This window comes from Homo sapiens, chromosome 11, assembly GCF_000001405.40.
Source record: "Homo sapiens chromosome 11, GRCh38.p14 Primary Assembly".
In the NCBI taxonomy this organism is placed as follows: domain Eukaryota; kingdom Metazoa; phylum Chordata; class Mammalia; order Primates; family Hominidae; genus Homo; species Homo sapiens.
The window spans coordinates 103,176,137-103,191,640 of NC_000011.10; the positions used below are offsets into that span (position 1 = coordinate 103,176,137).

The window sequence follows — 15,504 nt, forward strand, 5'->3', positions numbered from 1 at the left end:
TAATGATTAATAATGCATATCAAGGCTATAGAATATTTAAAAACTTTTTTCATCATTAAAGTAATAATAAATAATTTTAAAATGAAACTTTTTTCTAGCTAATGAAAGTCATATTGTGGTACAAGCACTGAGGCTTAATACCATGTCAAAGTTTACGTTTACTGATTGCACCCGGTTTGATGCACTGATAAAAGATGTCTTTCCGGGAATTGAATTGAAAGAAGTGGAATATGATGAACTAAGTGCTGCATTAAAGCAGGTCTTTGAAGAGGCCAATTATGAAATTATACCCAATCAGGTAACTGTCAAGAATATTTTATAATAGATTGATCCCTTTTCCTAGTTGATTCCTTATTAACTATCCTTGTCCTTCATCTTTCAACTTATCTTTTATCTTTCAACTTAGATCTCACTTGCTCAGGGAAGTCTTCCCAGATCTTCAAGTCCTGATTTGATCTTCTTGCTGTGTGCTCTTATCAAATATTCTTGTTTCATGTTTGTGTGTTTAATATTGATTCTCCTCCACCATAAAGTAATCTCCGTGAAAGGCAGGATCCATGTATATATATATTTTATTTTTATTTTTTGAGACAGAGTCTTGCTTTGTCGCCCAGGCTGGAGTGCGGTGGTGTGATCTCGGCCCACAGCAACCTCTGCCTCCCAGGTTCAAACAATTCTCCTGCCTCAGCCTCCTGAATAGCTGGGATTACAGGTGCACACCACCACACCTGGCTAATTTTTATATTTTTAGTAGAGATGGCATTTCACCATGTTGGCCAGGCTGGTCTCGAACTCTTGACCTCAGGTGATCTGCCCACCTTGGTCTCCCAAAGCACTGGGATTACAGGCCTGAGCCACCGCATCTGGCCATCCATATATATTTTTGCTCACCATTTCATTTCTATTGCCTGTTATAGTACCTAATGTGTAATGGATTCATCATTTTTTTATAATTGATTATATATATGATTTAGTTTCATTTTGATAATTTATTAGGATTTTAAGTGAGTCTCTTTATGTAGTGCAAATAATTGTCCAAAATTAGCACTTTGCCCTCAGTTTTGGAGAGAAGTAAGATAAGAATGAATGAATGAATGAATAAGTGAATAAAATAATGAATATATTTGAATGAGTGAATGAGTGGAGCAAGTAACGAACATAATTGTTCATACAAGTTTTTTGAACTTGGAAACCTGGAAAGCACCTTTGTTTCTTTTAAAGAAATATTGAAGTATTTAAAGATTATATTGTAAATATGTTCAGATTTATTTAGGTAGTCTATTACATTTTAGGCAATACCTTCCACTGAAGAAATCAAAGGCTTAATTTACACATTAGAACAAGTGTTACAGAATAAAAGCAGAACTAAGTATGATTGAATATTATAAATCATATATGAACATATTTCTTTCCTACTAGATCAAAAAGGCTTTAGAATTGTATGAACAGTTATGCCAGAGGATGGGAGTTGTTATTGTTGGTCCAAGTGGTGCTGGAAAATCAACGCTTTGGAGAATGTTAAGGGCTGCGCTTTGTAAAACTGGCAAAGTAGTGAAACAATATACTATGAATCCCAAAGCTATGCCTCGATATCAATTATTAGGCCATATTGACATGGACACAAGAGAATGGTCTGATGGTGTTTTGACAAATAGTGCTCGTCAAGTGGTTCGGGAACCTCAAGGTTAGTCTCTATGTATACTTCTTTGCTTTACTTAGTAATTCTTAGATAATGATATAATTTGTCTATAATGCTGTCTTTGTCAAGACTTCTACATGACCATAAAGTCATAATTAAGTTAAAATGATGTACATTTGATATTTTACTTTGGAGGGGGCCAAGACATGCTATCATTTTCAGTTAAACTCTGTAACTATTTTTAATATAATAGAAACTTAGAGTAAGTTGGGTGAATTGTAATTCACAACTAGATTAATTTACTGAATGAATATAAAATCTTTGCTGAGTTGATATTATACTGCCTCAGAAATAAACAAGATGACAGATTTTTGTTTGGGGTTAAAATTGGTGTGTATGAACAGTATTAACTCATTAGTTTGAATAAAGTATTTTGAATACTTTTGAAAATTTAAGTGGTAAAACTGCGGATTTCCTGGTCTAAATTTGTTGACTTGGTTTTTTAAGAGAATTTTTGGCTGGAATCAGAGGAGACTCCCTACTTTTTGCCAGGTTATAATTTAATTAATAATTATTTTTCTAAGGCAGTAAGTGAAAGCATTGGAAGGGATTTTCAATGTAGTCTTTTCTTTTTCTATATAATACCACATTAAGTAAAGGCCAGTTATTACCTTCATGTATTTCTAACACTTTTATCAGTGAAATTTTCCTCTTTGAATTGTTTCAAAGGTCCAAGTACAGTATTAACCACTCCCATTTTAGGAAAGATGGATAAAAAAGGTTTTATCCTGGAAAGACTATGTATACAATTGGTCACTATTTTTCCCCCTTTGAGGTCACCTTTTTATATGTCAAGAAAATTTGACAGTGGTGAATTTTTTATTTCTCATGCAGGGAACTGGAAATTGGATTTTCTGTAGTTTCTAAAAGATATACAACAGAGCAAGCCTTCGTACATTCTCATAACATAGTAGAAGACAAAAGTCTGAAGAATATCTTGTGGGAATAAAAATACCTAAGCCTTGCATTTTTTTTAGTGAAATTGCCTATTTTGTATGTTTATAGATAAAGTATTATTACATGATATATATCTGAGTCTTTGGCCAGCTGAGCCAGGATTGCGCATGGGTTCTTCAGCATATTTGTAGTACAAATTCATATGAAAATTAAGAATTGTTTTAGTCCTTATTTTTAATTATTATCACTGCATATATTTTTATTTTGTCTCCACTGTTTTGATTTGAAAATAGATGTCAGCTCATGGATAATCTGTGATGGTGATATTGACCCTGAATGGATAGAATCTCTGAATTCTGTTCTGGATGATAATCGACTGCTGACTATGCCCAGTGGAGAAAGGATTCAGTTTGGCCCAAATGTTAACTTTGTATTTGAAACTCATGATTTAAGTTGTGCATCACCAGCCACAATATCTAGAATGGGAATGATCTTTCTTAGGTAAGCCATAGATTATTTATATACAGTATATTAGAATATTCTTTTACTGTCCTGGTTTCATATTAAGTAAAATAAGTGTAGTGTGAATAATGAATACATATTTTTCCCATTTATGATTAACTTCTTTTTTGTTAGGTTTTAATTAATTCAGAGAGTTCCTGTTTTATTACAAAATTGAATTATTTTAGGAGTTTTAGTTGTATCACAATTATGAAATAATTATTTGTTTAAATGAAACAGCAAGAAAATTTGGTCTGTTTATTATTTTGTTGAAATATTGTGACTGATTTCAGAGAAGTGAACATATTAATTATGAGCTAATATGAGCTAATATTATGAGCTAATAATTTAAAGCTGAGTAGCAATATTTTAATTTTAGAATTTAATTAATTAAATCTATTTAATTTTAGATTCACAGAATTTTAGGGCTAATTCAGGTTTATTAGGTCCAATGACCCAGTCTTTTCATTTTACAAATTGAACACCTCTTTACTTAATATTTTTTTTCTTCTTCAGTATATTTGGAAGAGGCTTAAAGACTGAAAGTGAATAATAAACCAATTTTAGATATCATGTAAAATAGTCACATACCAGAGCATGGACATTTGCACCAATTTTATTTTTGAAAATCAGTAATATTTTGGCATAAGTAAGAAACTTTTATTTTACTTTTCCAATTTTTATTTATCATACTGTAGCATTTTATTTTTTTTAGTACCATTTAAAGTCATTTTAGGTGTTGTATGACATATGACAATGTAATAAAGTTGATTCAAATCATGTTTTGAAATTATTTAGTTGTTTACTTTTTTGACAGTATTGTAGGAAACATTTACTTTAAATTAGCCAGAAGCTTCAATTGATATTTTGAGGTATTATTAAAAGATAATATAATTTTGGGTTTACTGCTTTCATAGCAGCATTTGCACACAATTTATCATATTTATTAATTGTGTTATAATCTTGTGAGAAAAATAGAATAAAGGTAAGTTTTTAGTTAAATTTTAAAGTACTTGTTAAATATTATATATATGGTATTAAATTACGCACCTGAGGAGAGAGAGAGCTAGAAAGGAGTAAAACTGTTTGTAGAGAGCTTATCTTTTTGGAAAATACTTTCACATAGAGGAGGCAAATTTATACAATTTATACAAGTGGAATATAAGTGAACTAAGCAGTAAGTAGAATACTATTAATATTTAGCAGAAAATAAGACATTGCTTTAGAGGAGTTGAAAATTGTTGGTGAATCAGGTATTGTTTGTGAAAGGCATAATGAATGTATATGATTTCATGTAAAATACAAATACATATTAACTTTTTTTGTTGCTATGTGTTCAGCTTATATCTTAGTTTTAGGTTTCCTTTATTCCTTTAGCAGATATTTGTTGAGCACTTGCTATGTAATAGGCCAAATGTGGACCTTTTAATACTGAAATAAATGTTATTATTAATGATTCTGGGACAACTGGTATGAAGCAGTGTTGTATTGGATAAACCAAGACATGTAGTCTCATAGACATTGAGAAAATACCATTGGTAAGAAACTCTTTATTCTGAAGGAGCTTAGCATCTTTGGTTGGCCTACTTTGGGCTAATCTAATGTTATATAATTATTAACCTCTTTGATATTTCAATTTTTTTCATATTAGACTGGATAGAAAATGTGAGAGCAGAGATTCAAGGCATCAGTGTCATTTATTAATTTGCTATGAAACAATGGTGGAAGATAGGAAAAAATGACAAAAATCGTGAGGTCTTGTCAATTCTAAAATAATATGAATTATTTTTACTATAGTTTTTTATAATTATATAAGGTATAATTTTGAATAAGATGTGAATCTCTATTATTTCACCAATTGGATTTTGGTGAAATAATTGAATTTTACCCAGATAATTATGTGCTTTGCTAAAGGAATTATAGTTTGCTTTAGGAAGATCTTTAAATTTTAATAGTGGCATGGGAATTTAGGTAGTTGGATTTTTATAGGATAGAGAAAAAGTGTTTCTAAAGATCTGTATTACAGTTTAGATCAGTGCATTTTAAACTCTAATGTGCATTTGAATCATCAAGGGGTCTTATTAAAATGAAGATTTTTGCTTTAGTATGTCTGGAGAGGGATTTGGGATTTTACATTTCTAACAGACCACTCTGAGTAGGAATGGTTGAGACCACTTTAGGCTATGTAGAGCCTATGTAGAGTAGGTTGTGTAGATATATAATTCTCGTTTAGTTTATATTTATAATAAAATAGATGAAATGTATTTGTTTTATAGAAAATGACATATATATGTATATATACCTATATGCATGTGTGTTTGTATATATTATGTGTATGTATACACACACACAGATGTAATTGTATTATTCACACATACTCATAGTAAAGTAACTAAAGCCACCTTTTGTATGCTAGCAGACAAAATATGTGCGTAGAATAATGTTTATTGGAGAAGAAATTTATTTTAATGTAAATTGATAATTTCTTCCTAAGTAATTTTTTATTTGTCTAAACTGTTTCAGTGATGAAGAGACAGATCTTAATTCTCTGATAAAATCTTGGTTGAGGAATCAGCCTGCTGAATATAGAAATAATCTTGAAAATTGGATTGGAGATTATTTTGAAAAGGCTTTACAATGGGTTCTAAAGCAGGTAAATTAACCATAATATTTCATAATTAATCGAGGTGAGAAGTATGATTAAGAGTGATGCTTATTTTAACTTCCTTGTGGTAGAACTCTGCTGGAATGTGGGTGTGAGGTGAGAGGTGGATTTTGTCACTGCTACTCCTCTGTATCTCTTAGCATAACTGTTATATCTCTTATCATAACTTTTTATTTTGTTAGTCTTAAAACATTTTACTTCTTTCATTCATAATACTTTACACTGCTTACCTAACAATCTTGATTACTAGAATGTCTTTCTAATTTTTACTAGCAAAAACCATCTTGCTGCCACTTTTTACTGATATGCCAGTAAATACCTATATATATGACATATGTATATATAATATATAGGTATTTATATACCTATATATACACCTATATATACACACCTATATATACCAATAAATACCTATATATATGTCACATATATATGATATATATAAGGTTAAAAACAATATGAAGTTAGCACTAAACTAGAAAAGGGATGGTGAGTTATTTGCAATAATGAAAACGTGTTTATATTTAACAAAAACATTGAATATCTAATATATGTGAAGCATAATACAAGAGAGACTTTGAGAGGTGAAGATTAACAAGGTAATTCCTTTCCTTGAGAAGGGTTTATCTAATGGAGAAAAATGACATGCAAACAGATAACCACAATTTAGCAGGATGAAGAGAATATTGCTGTCATTTAGAAGAGGTTTAAAAGGAGATCACATTTGATTTTGGATTTGAAATGTGAAAAAAGTTTAGCATGCAAAGAAGACCGTGGAGGGTGTTCAGATATTCTACATGTTTATGCCATTGCTTTTATGAAAAATGAAAACATATACAAAATAGAGGATATAAATAGCAGTGAGTTTTTTGAAAGTATCTGATTGTGATTGTGAATCTGAACTTGATTTAGAGTTCAATACTTTAGGATTGAACAAGATATAGAGAAATGAAGATTTGTTTTCGTTTTCTCAAACTTTTTCTTTTCTGACTTTGTAAGAATGAAAAATGGAGGAATAGGGATTTGTGAGGATAGCGATGCAAGTGAGGTGGGTTTTCCTGGAGGCCTAGGAAAGGGAACACTCCCATTAGCTCCTAGTCTGACTGAGCTGTCTCCTCCTTTGTGCTTCTGTAGCAACATACAGCATCTACCAACTATGTTATAATTGTCTGTTTACATTAAACTATAAGCACCTTGAAGGCAAGGACCAAGCTTATCACACTCTTCATTGTGTCCTCAGAACCAAGTATGATATTAAGTGATAGCAAATGAATGATAGTATTGTGCTTAATTATATACCTGATGCCTACATTGTGACACCTTTTCAGTAGATATGTTATTTCATTAGTACAAAACATTCAGAGCCTAACAAGGCTTTCCAATGCAGATACTTTGAGGTAATCTGCTCATAGATGTGTGAATGTTATAATAGGAGTATCGTATTAGATGGAATATATTTATGTATATATAGGGGTTTATGACTGTAGAAATGACGACAGGATAAGATTGTTAAACAATAGAGTGAATACCAAAGATTCAGTTAGGAAAAAAAATGGTTTATGTTTTGAGGTCACACCGCTGTTTGTTTGTTTGTTTTATTTAATGTGTTAAGGGTTCTTTTCTTTTTATCCTGTATTTTGTTCACCATGCACAGGTTCTGAGGTATACCACAATGAATTCTCTAGTCAAATGCTGAAATTGTATTTATAACTAGAACTTTGCTTTCTTCTTTTTTCTCTTCCTCAGCCTATGGGATAAATCTTTGCTTTCTTGTATGAATTCAGCAAATAAGAAAATATAGAAGAAAATATGTACATTTCCTTTATCTCACCTTTAAAATCTGGAACTCTCAGTATGAGTCTGTCTAGATTTCTTTCTTTCTTCTCCTTTCTTCCTGCTCTTCCTCCTATTTCTTCTTTCTCACAAAAATATTAATTTTTTTAAGCACAGCGATGTTTTTAAAATGTAAACTGGGTAATTTTACTCTATTATAAAAAACATGTTAAAGACAAGGAAAATAAGGATTGTATTCCTTACCATGTCTGATAAATTCTGCACTCTGGCCCTTGCCTATTTCTCTGACTTAAAACACTGTTTCCTTGCTTACTTAGGCATAACTTCTTTTAATTCCTTAACAGTGCTAAGTTTTTCTTTGCATGTGCTCTATTCTCTGCATAAGCAGATAGATCTCATCCTTCAGTCTTAGCTTAAATGTCACCTTTTTTTAAAGAAGCCGTGAGCCCTCAATCTGAGTTACTGTTTCCCACAACATTCTGTACTGCTGTAGCTCTTACCACAATTTGTTAACCATTTCCTGTGCTATGCTTGAGCTCCATGAAGACAGGGACCCTGTTTATTCCAGCTTTTAACAAAACAAAGCAAAAACAAACCTGGCACCACATACAGATCCTAATGCATGATTGGTTCTCCGTAAATATTTATAGAAAGACTGAGAGCCATTTTTTCTTTAACTCTCTGGCACTTACCAGGGACCCCAGGGAGGCTTACAGATCAAAGCATCTACACAGCACTGAAGTCCAGAAGTTTCATTTAAAAATTCTTTCAGAGAAAGCTCCATGTGGTTTGTCATTTATGCCTGCTTTTTCTAACGTTTCTTTTCTAGTGCCATCAATCTAGCTCTTGGCTCTTGTATTCTTTTTATCAGCAAGAGGAAATGAACATGTATTCTTTTTGGAACAATGCTCCCTAACTTACCTTTTCTTTTATATTCTTCAGGTTTAGGAAGTAAATAAACTGTATCTATTTGAGGACTGTAGCACTGAAAGCTAGAAATATATGATTGTACTTTCATGATTACTTTTTATTTTCAAAGTATATATAAAAATTGAATGAAATCCAAACTTTCTACAGTTTGAATAGAGGAGTGAGTTTAAAAATGGTTCTTGAAAAGGTATGTGAACATCAGTCTGTATGGTTCTATGTTTACTGGTTAATAGTTGCCTTTTGTCTGTTTGTATCACGGATTTTAATCAACAGAATGACTATGTGGTAGAAACAAGTTTGGTTGGGACTGTGATGAATGGTTTGTCACATCTACATGGTTGCAGAGATCATGACGAATTCATTATTAATCTCATAAGGGGACTTGGTGGAAATCTGAATATGAAGTCACGTTTGGAATTTACCAAAGAGGTAATGCATATTTATAGCCTATATTTAGTCAAAACTTTAACTTTTCATTAACTCTTAACTGCCAAAACACAATGATTTGTAACTGTAAGATATGGAACTTTTAAAATTTGAAATTATGTATTCAATTGAGTAATAATGTATTTATGTATGTGTATTTATATTTTCTCCTTTGAGTTATTTTATGATGTTTGATAATATTATTAACATTTTATAAAATAATGTTTTATAAGTTAAAGTTTGGACCATATCTTTTTTAAGTTAGACATTTTTGAACCTACTTGTCTACATTAATAATTATTTCATTCATTTAAAAATCTTAGAATAGTTTAGTTTTTATCATCCTTTTAACTAGAGCAGTTTTAGGAATTGGGAATATTAGGATGAATTAATTATTAATAAATATTTTCTTTAATATATGTTAAAGTTGTATTACAGTCAAGTTGTTTATAAAGCTGAATTCTAAATAATAAGTGATTTTTTTTCCAATTGACCTCTACTGAAATTATTGGACATTTATTCCTTTGGGTTGGCTCTAACATTAACAGCTTTTTTTTCTCATTTTGCTGCTTCTTTGATAGTGTCATTTACTGCTTTCTCTATTCCGTCTCCCTTTCCATGGCTGTCCTGTTGCCTCTGTTGCCAGATGCTTCTCATTGTTACCACTCAGTGACATACTATATGCTGCTTTTAAGCACATACTCTCTTGTCAAAGTTCCGAATAAATGTATTGAAGAATAGTATTAAGGGCTAACTCTGCTTTATATATGCATAGATAACAGTTTTCAGTATTAAAAAGAAGAATAACAGGTGGAGAGCAGTGGTAGTGACACTGTGATGGACAGTACCAGGATATGGCAGAAATGAAGGGCTTTAGGATTTCTGCATTCTGTACTTTGTGATTTAATGTTAATAAGAACTCCATTAAAATGGAATATATTTATACCTTAGTGTATAAATAAATATCCACTATGTCATTATCTCCTATATATACTTTAATTTACTTGCATAAATGATCATTTAGAGAAAAATATTTGAGATAAAATGTTACATTAATGATAAAATAGGTTTAGTTTATGTAAAGTTTTCTTGGAACTAAGATGATTTACTTTTGGGATATTTACTTGGAAGAATTTTAAAATGTCACACACTCTGGAGTATGTGAAAACTTATCACAATTTTTTCCTCTTAAGGTTTTTCATTGGGCACGAGAATCTCCTCCAGACTTTCACAAACCTATGGATACCTACTATGACTCTACTAGGGGTCGATTAGCAACATATGTGCTTAAGAAGCCAGAAGACTTGACTGCTGATGATTTCAGTAACGGCTTAACTCTTCCAGTCATTCAGACTCCTGACATGCAACGAGGTCTAGATTATTTCAAACCATGGTTAAGTTCTGATACTAAACAGCCCTTTATTCTGGTAGGACCAGAAGGATGTGGCAAAGGGTAAGAAAAATATTGGCAAAGGTATATGTTGTGGATTTATTCCTGCCGCCCCTAATTGATTTAATGGCTTTTGTTATGTTTCTTTTGGTTAAAGTAGCATTTACATTTTCATGGAAGATTCATTTTATTTTCATTACTTATAAAAATAAGAACTATGGGGAATAGTGTGTCCTTTTCTTTTCCAGGTTGTGTGATTTCTACTGGAAAGACAGCAATCTGAGAAGATACTCTTAAAAATTATCCGTCCATATAATACAGCAAAAAAAAAAAAAAGAATGCCTTATATATACTCACACACCATTTGCTTTAGTTATAAAATTTAAAATTTGAAGTTAGATCTCTATTTAAAAGTAGCTTTTAATTCAGTGGAATTCAGCCTAGTTTTAGTTCATATGGAGCATAGTCTCCTGAAATATAGGAACCATGGTTTATTATTTTCATATTTCTAGTAGGGGAGTAGTAATTTTAAAAATTGTATAAAATCATAGTAATTTTTTTAAACTCATGGAACTTAAAATCTTAAAATCCTTCAACTGTGGGGAAACAGGGTTGGTATATTTGACATGTACTTTATCAAACTAGATTAATTCTGAGAACTTTGATTTTTTTGGCTGAAAACAGTCCTCACAATGCCTTAAAACATGAATTTATGTTTTTCTAGTCTAAAAGAAAGTTGCTTTGATAGTTATGGAAGCCATATCTGTATTTACCATTTTTCCTATCATCATATACATTTTAGAAACTGAAATATTTATGAGATAGAAATTTCTTATTGAGTATAAAATGTATTTTGTTGGTTGCATTTTTATCAAAGTCAGATGTCATGCATTTTTCGTAGGATGCTGCTCAGGTACGCATTTTCACAACTCCGGTCCACTCAAATTGCTACAGTTCACTGTAGTGCACAAACCACTTCTCGACATCTCCTGCAGAAACTGAGCCAGACTTGCATGGTAATCAGTACTAATACTGGTCGTGTATACAGACCAAAAGACTGTGAAAGACTTGTTCTGTACTTAAAAGATATCAACCTACCTAAACTTGATAAATGGGGGACCAGTACTTTGGTAGCATTCCTACAACAGGTAAGTCATATTGCTTGAAGTGTTTTAATCTAATTGGAAACAATTTAATTTCATTAACTTTTCTTAGAAAATATTCATTCTTCATTTGGGGCCAGTTTTATCTAGCATTTGTCATGGAAATTAAACTCCTGAAACACTTCAGTCTTGTTCCAGTTCTTCTGTGATTTTCCTTTCTTTAGAAGTTAGTATTACGTCAGGATAATACATGACAGGGAGAATAGAAACAGCCTTCACTCTACATCTATTACTTGTCCTTTATTCGTAAAACAAGGAGGAAAACAAAAGCTGGACATGGTGGTGGAGGTGGAGAAATTTTTGCTTCATGTTTTAAAGTATGCATTCTTCTCACTGCAGTTAGACTTGGTCATGTTTTTTTCTGGCTGCTTTAACCCATTATTCTCCATTTTTGCCTGTATAAGGATTTGAGATCACATATCCTGAATCAGTGTGGAATATATTTTTTCTTTATGTTATTTACATCACATTAGAAGCTATAAATTCTTAGAGTTTATTACGGTATAGGTCCAATTTTAGGCTTATTATGTAACTGCAGAATATGATAAAATATTTACAGAAAAAAACAAAAATATTTTTCTCATATTTTTCCTGATACTTTCATTTTCTAGGCTAATTGTACTCAATTTATAATATCATTGCATTTTAGTGTTTATTAGAGAGAAAAGCATTTTAAACAGTAGGATAATTTAGCTAACATTCATAGAACACAGAGATTTGAACAGTATTATTTTTCAGTGATATAATAATTTAAGATACCATTTAATCTAAAATTCTTGAGTTAGATAGATGATGATTGCATTTAGAAATAATTGAAACTTAGGCAAAAATATCCTTTATCATGATTAGGAAATCTTAGATAAAAAACGTTTAAAATATATTTATTTTCAAATAGGTATTGACGTATCAAGGATTTTATGATGAAAATTTGGAATGGGTTGGTCTAGAAAATATTCAAATTGTGGCTTCTATGTCAGCTGGAGGAAGACTGGGAAGACATAAACTTACTACCAGATTTACTTCCATCGTTCGTCTTTGTTCTATAGAGTATGTATCTTTGTGTTTCAGATTTTTTAATTTGGGAAGATATCATATATAAATGAATTTTATTTAAAGTATTTATGATAATACTTTAAAATTTAGAATATAAAAATGGTCAAACTTAACCTCTGATATTTTTTCCTACCCTTCTCAAAATATAGGCAATAATTTAGGATGATAAAAGCTTTAATCAAAGCATCTTATTTATGATATGTTTAACAGGAAATAAAACGAAACTGTTTTGTGTAGTCTGTGTTCCAAAATGTCAATCTCAGGAGTCTGAATGGTGGATTTTAGATTTAAATGTTTTATGCAGTTCATGAAACAAAAATACCATCAAATTTATGAAGATAACAAAAAGAGAATTTCAATCTGAACAAGGGAGAATTAGGGTCATTTTAATGGCTGGTGGCATCAATGCTAATCATCTCCACGGGCCATAATTACAGAGACTATGGCAATATCTCCTCTGTTTATATTTAATATACATTATATTACATTACAAATATTGAATATTACAAAACCTTATTTGTATACTTTTGTGCTAATTGTACTCCATCAATTAAACTTTTTTTTTTCTAGAAATATTCCTGCTGCCAGTTAAACCATATTGAAATACATTTTGGTTTGGGAGAAAGGGGTTGATTTTATTTGTTGTATTAGTTTTACTTTTATAGTTCTGAGGTGGATTACTGCCCTGTGTACAGACCTTATGTAACTCAAAAATGCTTTTCAAAAGTAAAATTTTCCTTTTGGTCTTTTCTGAAGATCAGTGATATGTTTTAACATAATTTCTTGGGGTTCTCTAACACCTTCTGGTATTTGACAATAGATATTTCGGGATCGAATTTGGTTGAAATGAGAATGGATCGGGGCGATGAGCCTAGTCTTAGCCCCCTGGGTAAGCTTTGGAGATATGTAGGTCTTAGAGCAGCACAGTTTCAAAACCACTGTTGTAACTTAACATTGAAATATTAATTTGGAATACTGATTTATTTCAGCTTTCTTCTTATATGCCATTTTTTTTAGTTACCCAGAAAGAGAGCAGTTACAAACGATTTATGGAGCATATTTGGAACCAGTTCTACATAAAAATCTGAAGAATCATTCTATTTGGGGTTCTTCATCAAAAATTTATCTTTTAGCAGGATCTATGGTACAAGTGTATGAACAGGTAGATATGCATCTAAATTGTAGCTTTCATGTCTATTAGTATCATTTCTAAAGGTCTACTTTTAATTCTGACCTCTGTGTTGACACCCAGGCTTTACTTTCCTGTTTATTAGACTTTTCTAGTAGAGAGTAACTGTGAAGACAGGTGCTGTGTGTGCCTTATTCACTGTTGTATCCATGGCACAGTTTCTAATAGGCACTCGATATTTGTTGAATGAATGCATTTGTGGTAGATGGTTATTCTGCTGTCAGCTCAAATTTTGCATATTTAGAATTGAGTTTATCTTCTTTCCCAAAACAGATCTTTTTCCTGACTTCTATCAGTTTGTGTCTTCCAGGCTTCAAACCTGCAAGCAGTCTTTGATGTTTCTTTCTTTCTTCCTGACTGTGAGGAAATGTCTAAAGTATTCTTCCTAGATAAAATGGGGAAGATACTTGAAAGTAGGCATTGAGGATACACAAAACATTTGTTGAGCACCTTTTCTTGCCAGTAGTAGTCCTAGGGATGTAAAGATGACTTAGTTTATTTTCACTGAATGTTCGCAGTCTAATGAGGGGCTGAGTCATATAAATAAGCTATTAATGCAGTGTAATAAATGTAGCAATAACAGTATGTCTAACTTACAGAGATAGCACAGAGGAGGAGTAAATAACTTTGTTGTATATGGTAGTTGTTAAGGAGGAGGTGAAGTTTGATCTGAGTTTTGAAAAATTAATAGAAATTCACCAAGTTGCTGGAGGTGAAAGAATGTCTTCTTAGATAAAGGGAATAGCGTGTACAAGTTATAGACATGTTTGTGGAAGATGCTTTTTATAATATTGGAGTAGAAGTGGGGATAGGTAAGTTTAAAAGCAAGAAATTCCTTTTTTTAAAAAAATAAAGATGTTAAGTAATCAAGATCAGAATAAGAGTAATGGCTCTGTCCATAGAGAGGAAGGGACAGGCATTTTACCGGTTGGTTGTATATTGAAGAGAGATACTTTGATTTGTTCAGTGACTTCTTGAACTTAAATTGTTTTAATGGTTCCCAGCATTAAAAAATGGGTCTTACCTAGACCTGTGAGTACCTTGGAATTGCAACCATCATATTTAAAGGTTAGGTTTGTTTTTATTGAATTCTTCTGTTCAGCAGGGCTTTTTAGCCTTTTTTTTTTTTTTTGGCCATCTGTTGAAGCCTATGAACCCTTCTTAGAATATATGTATATATATATATTTTTTTTCTTTTTCTTTTTTTTTTTTTTGAGATGGAGTCTCGCTTTGTCGCCCAGGTTGTAGTGCAGTGGCACAATCTCAGCTCACTGCAACCTCTGCCTCCTTGGTTCAAGTGATTCTTCTGCCTTAGCCTCTCAAGTAGCTGGGACTACAAGCATGTGCCACCATGCCCAGCCAATTTTTATATTTTTTTTAGAGACGGGGTTTTGCCATATTGGCCAGGCTGGTCTTGAACTGCTGACCTCGTGATCTGCCCCCACTCAGCCTCTGAAAGTGCTGGGATTATAGGCATGAGCAACTGCGCCCGACCAGAATGTTTTTAAGTGCATAAAATATAGTATAAAGATAATGAAGTCATTTATATTGAAATCCAGTTCCATCTACAGGTAGAAATTGGTATTCCTCTGAGTCTAAGGAGACTGAAAAATTTATAACATGATTATTATTTAAGGCAGTAGAAAGATTGTTTACTGTATTTTCTTTTTCAGGTGCGAGCCAAATTTACAGTTGATGATTATAGTCACTATTTCTTTACTCCTTGCATTCTTACCCAATGGGTTCTTGGCTTATTTAGATATGATTTAGAAGGAGGTGAGTTTTGCTAGTGTGTAT

The 15,504-nt window shown here is 31.8% G+C and overlaps 1 protein-coding gene across 6 annotated transcripts in view; it reads left to right on the forward strand.

The window, feature by feature from the left end:
• DYNC2H1 (dynein cytoplasmic 2 heavy chain 1) overlaps positions 1 to 15,504 on the forward strand; it is a 370,438-nt gene that overhangs the window by 66,711 nt on the left and 288,223 nt on the right. For 5 of the 6 annotated variants that reach the window (NM_001080463.2, NM_001377.3, XM_017018291.2 and 2 more), the window contains 10 exons: positions 99 to 298; positions 1,420 to 1,684; positions 2,890 to 3,097; positions 5,621 to 5,750; positions 8,760 to 8,915; positions 10,106 to 10,365; positions 11,204 to 11,450; positions 12,361 to 12,512; positions 13,536 to 13,680; positions 15,381 to 15,483. In NM_001080463.2, coding sequence (NP_001073932.1) covers positions 99 to 298; positions 1,420 to 1,684; positions 2,890 to 3,097; positions 5,621 to 5,750; positions 8,760 to 8,915; positions 10,106 to 10,365; positions 11,204 to 11,450; positions 12,361 to 12,512; positions 13,536 to 13,680; positions 15,381 to 15,483 — 1,866 coding nt within the window. The remainder of the gene's footprint in view (positions 1 to 98; positions 299 to 1,419; positions 1,685 to 2,889; positions 3,098 to 5,620; positions 5,751 to 8,759; positions 8,916 to 10,105; positions 10,366 to 11,203; positions 11,451 to 12,360; positions 12,513 to 13,535; positions 13,681 to 15,380; positions 15,484 to 15,504) is intronic. The other variant, XM_017018293.2, reaches the window with a different exon arrangement.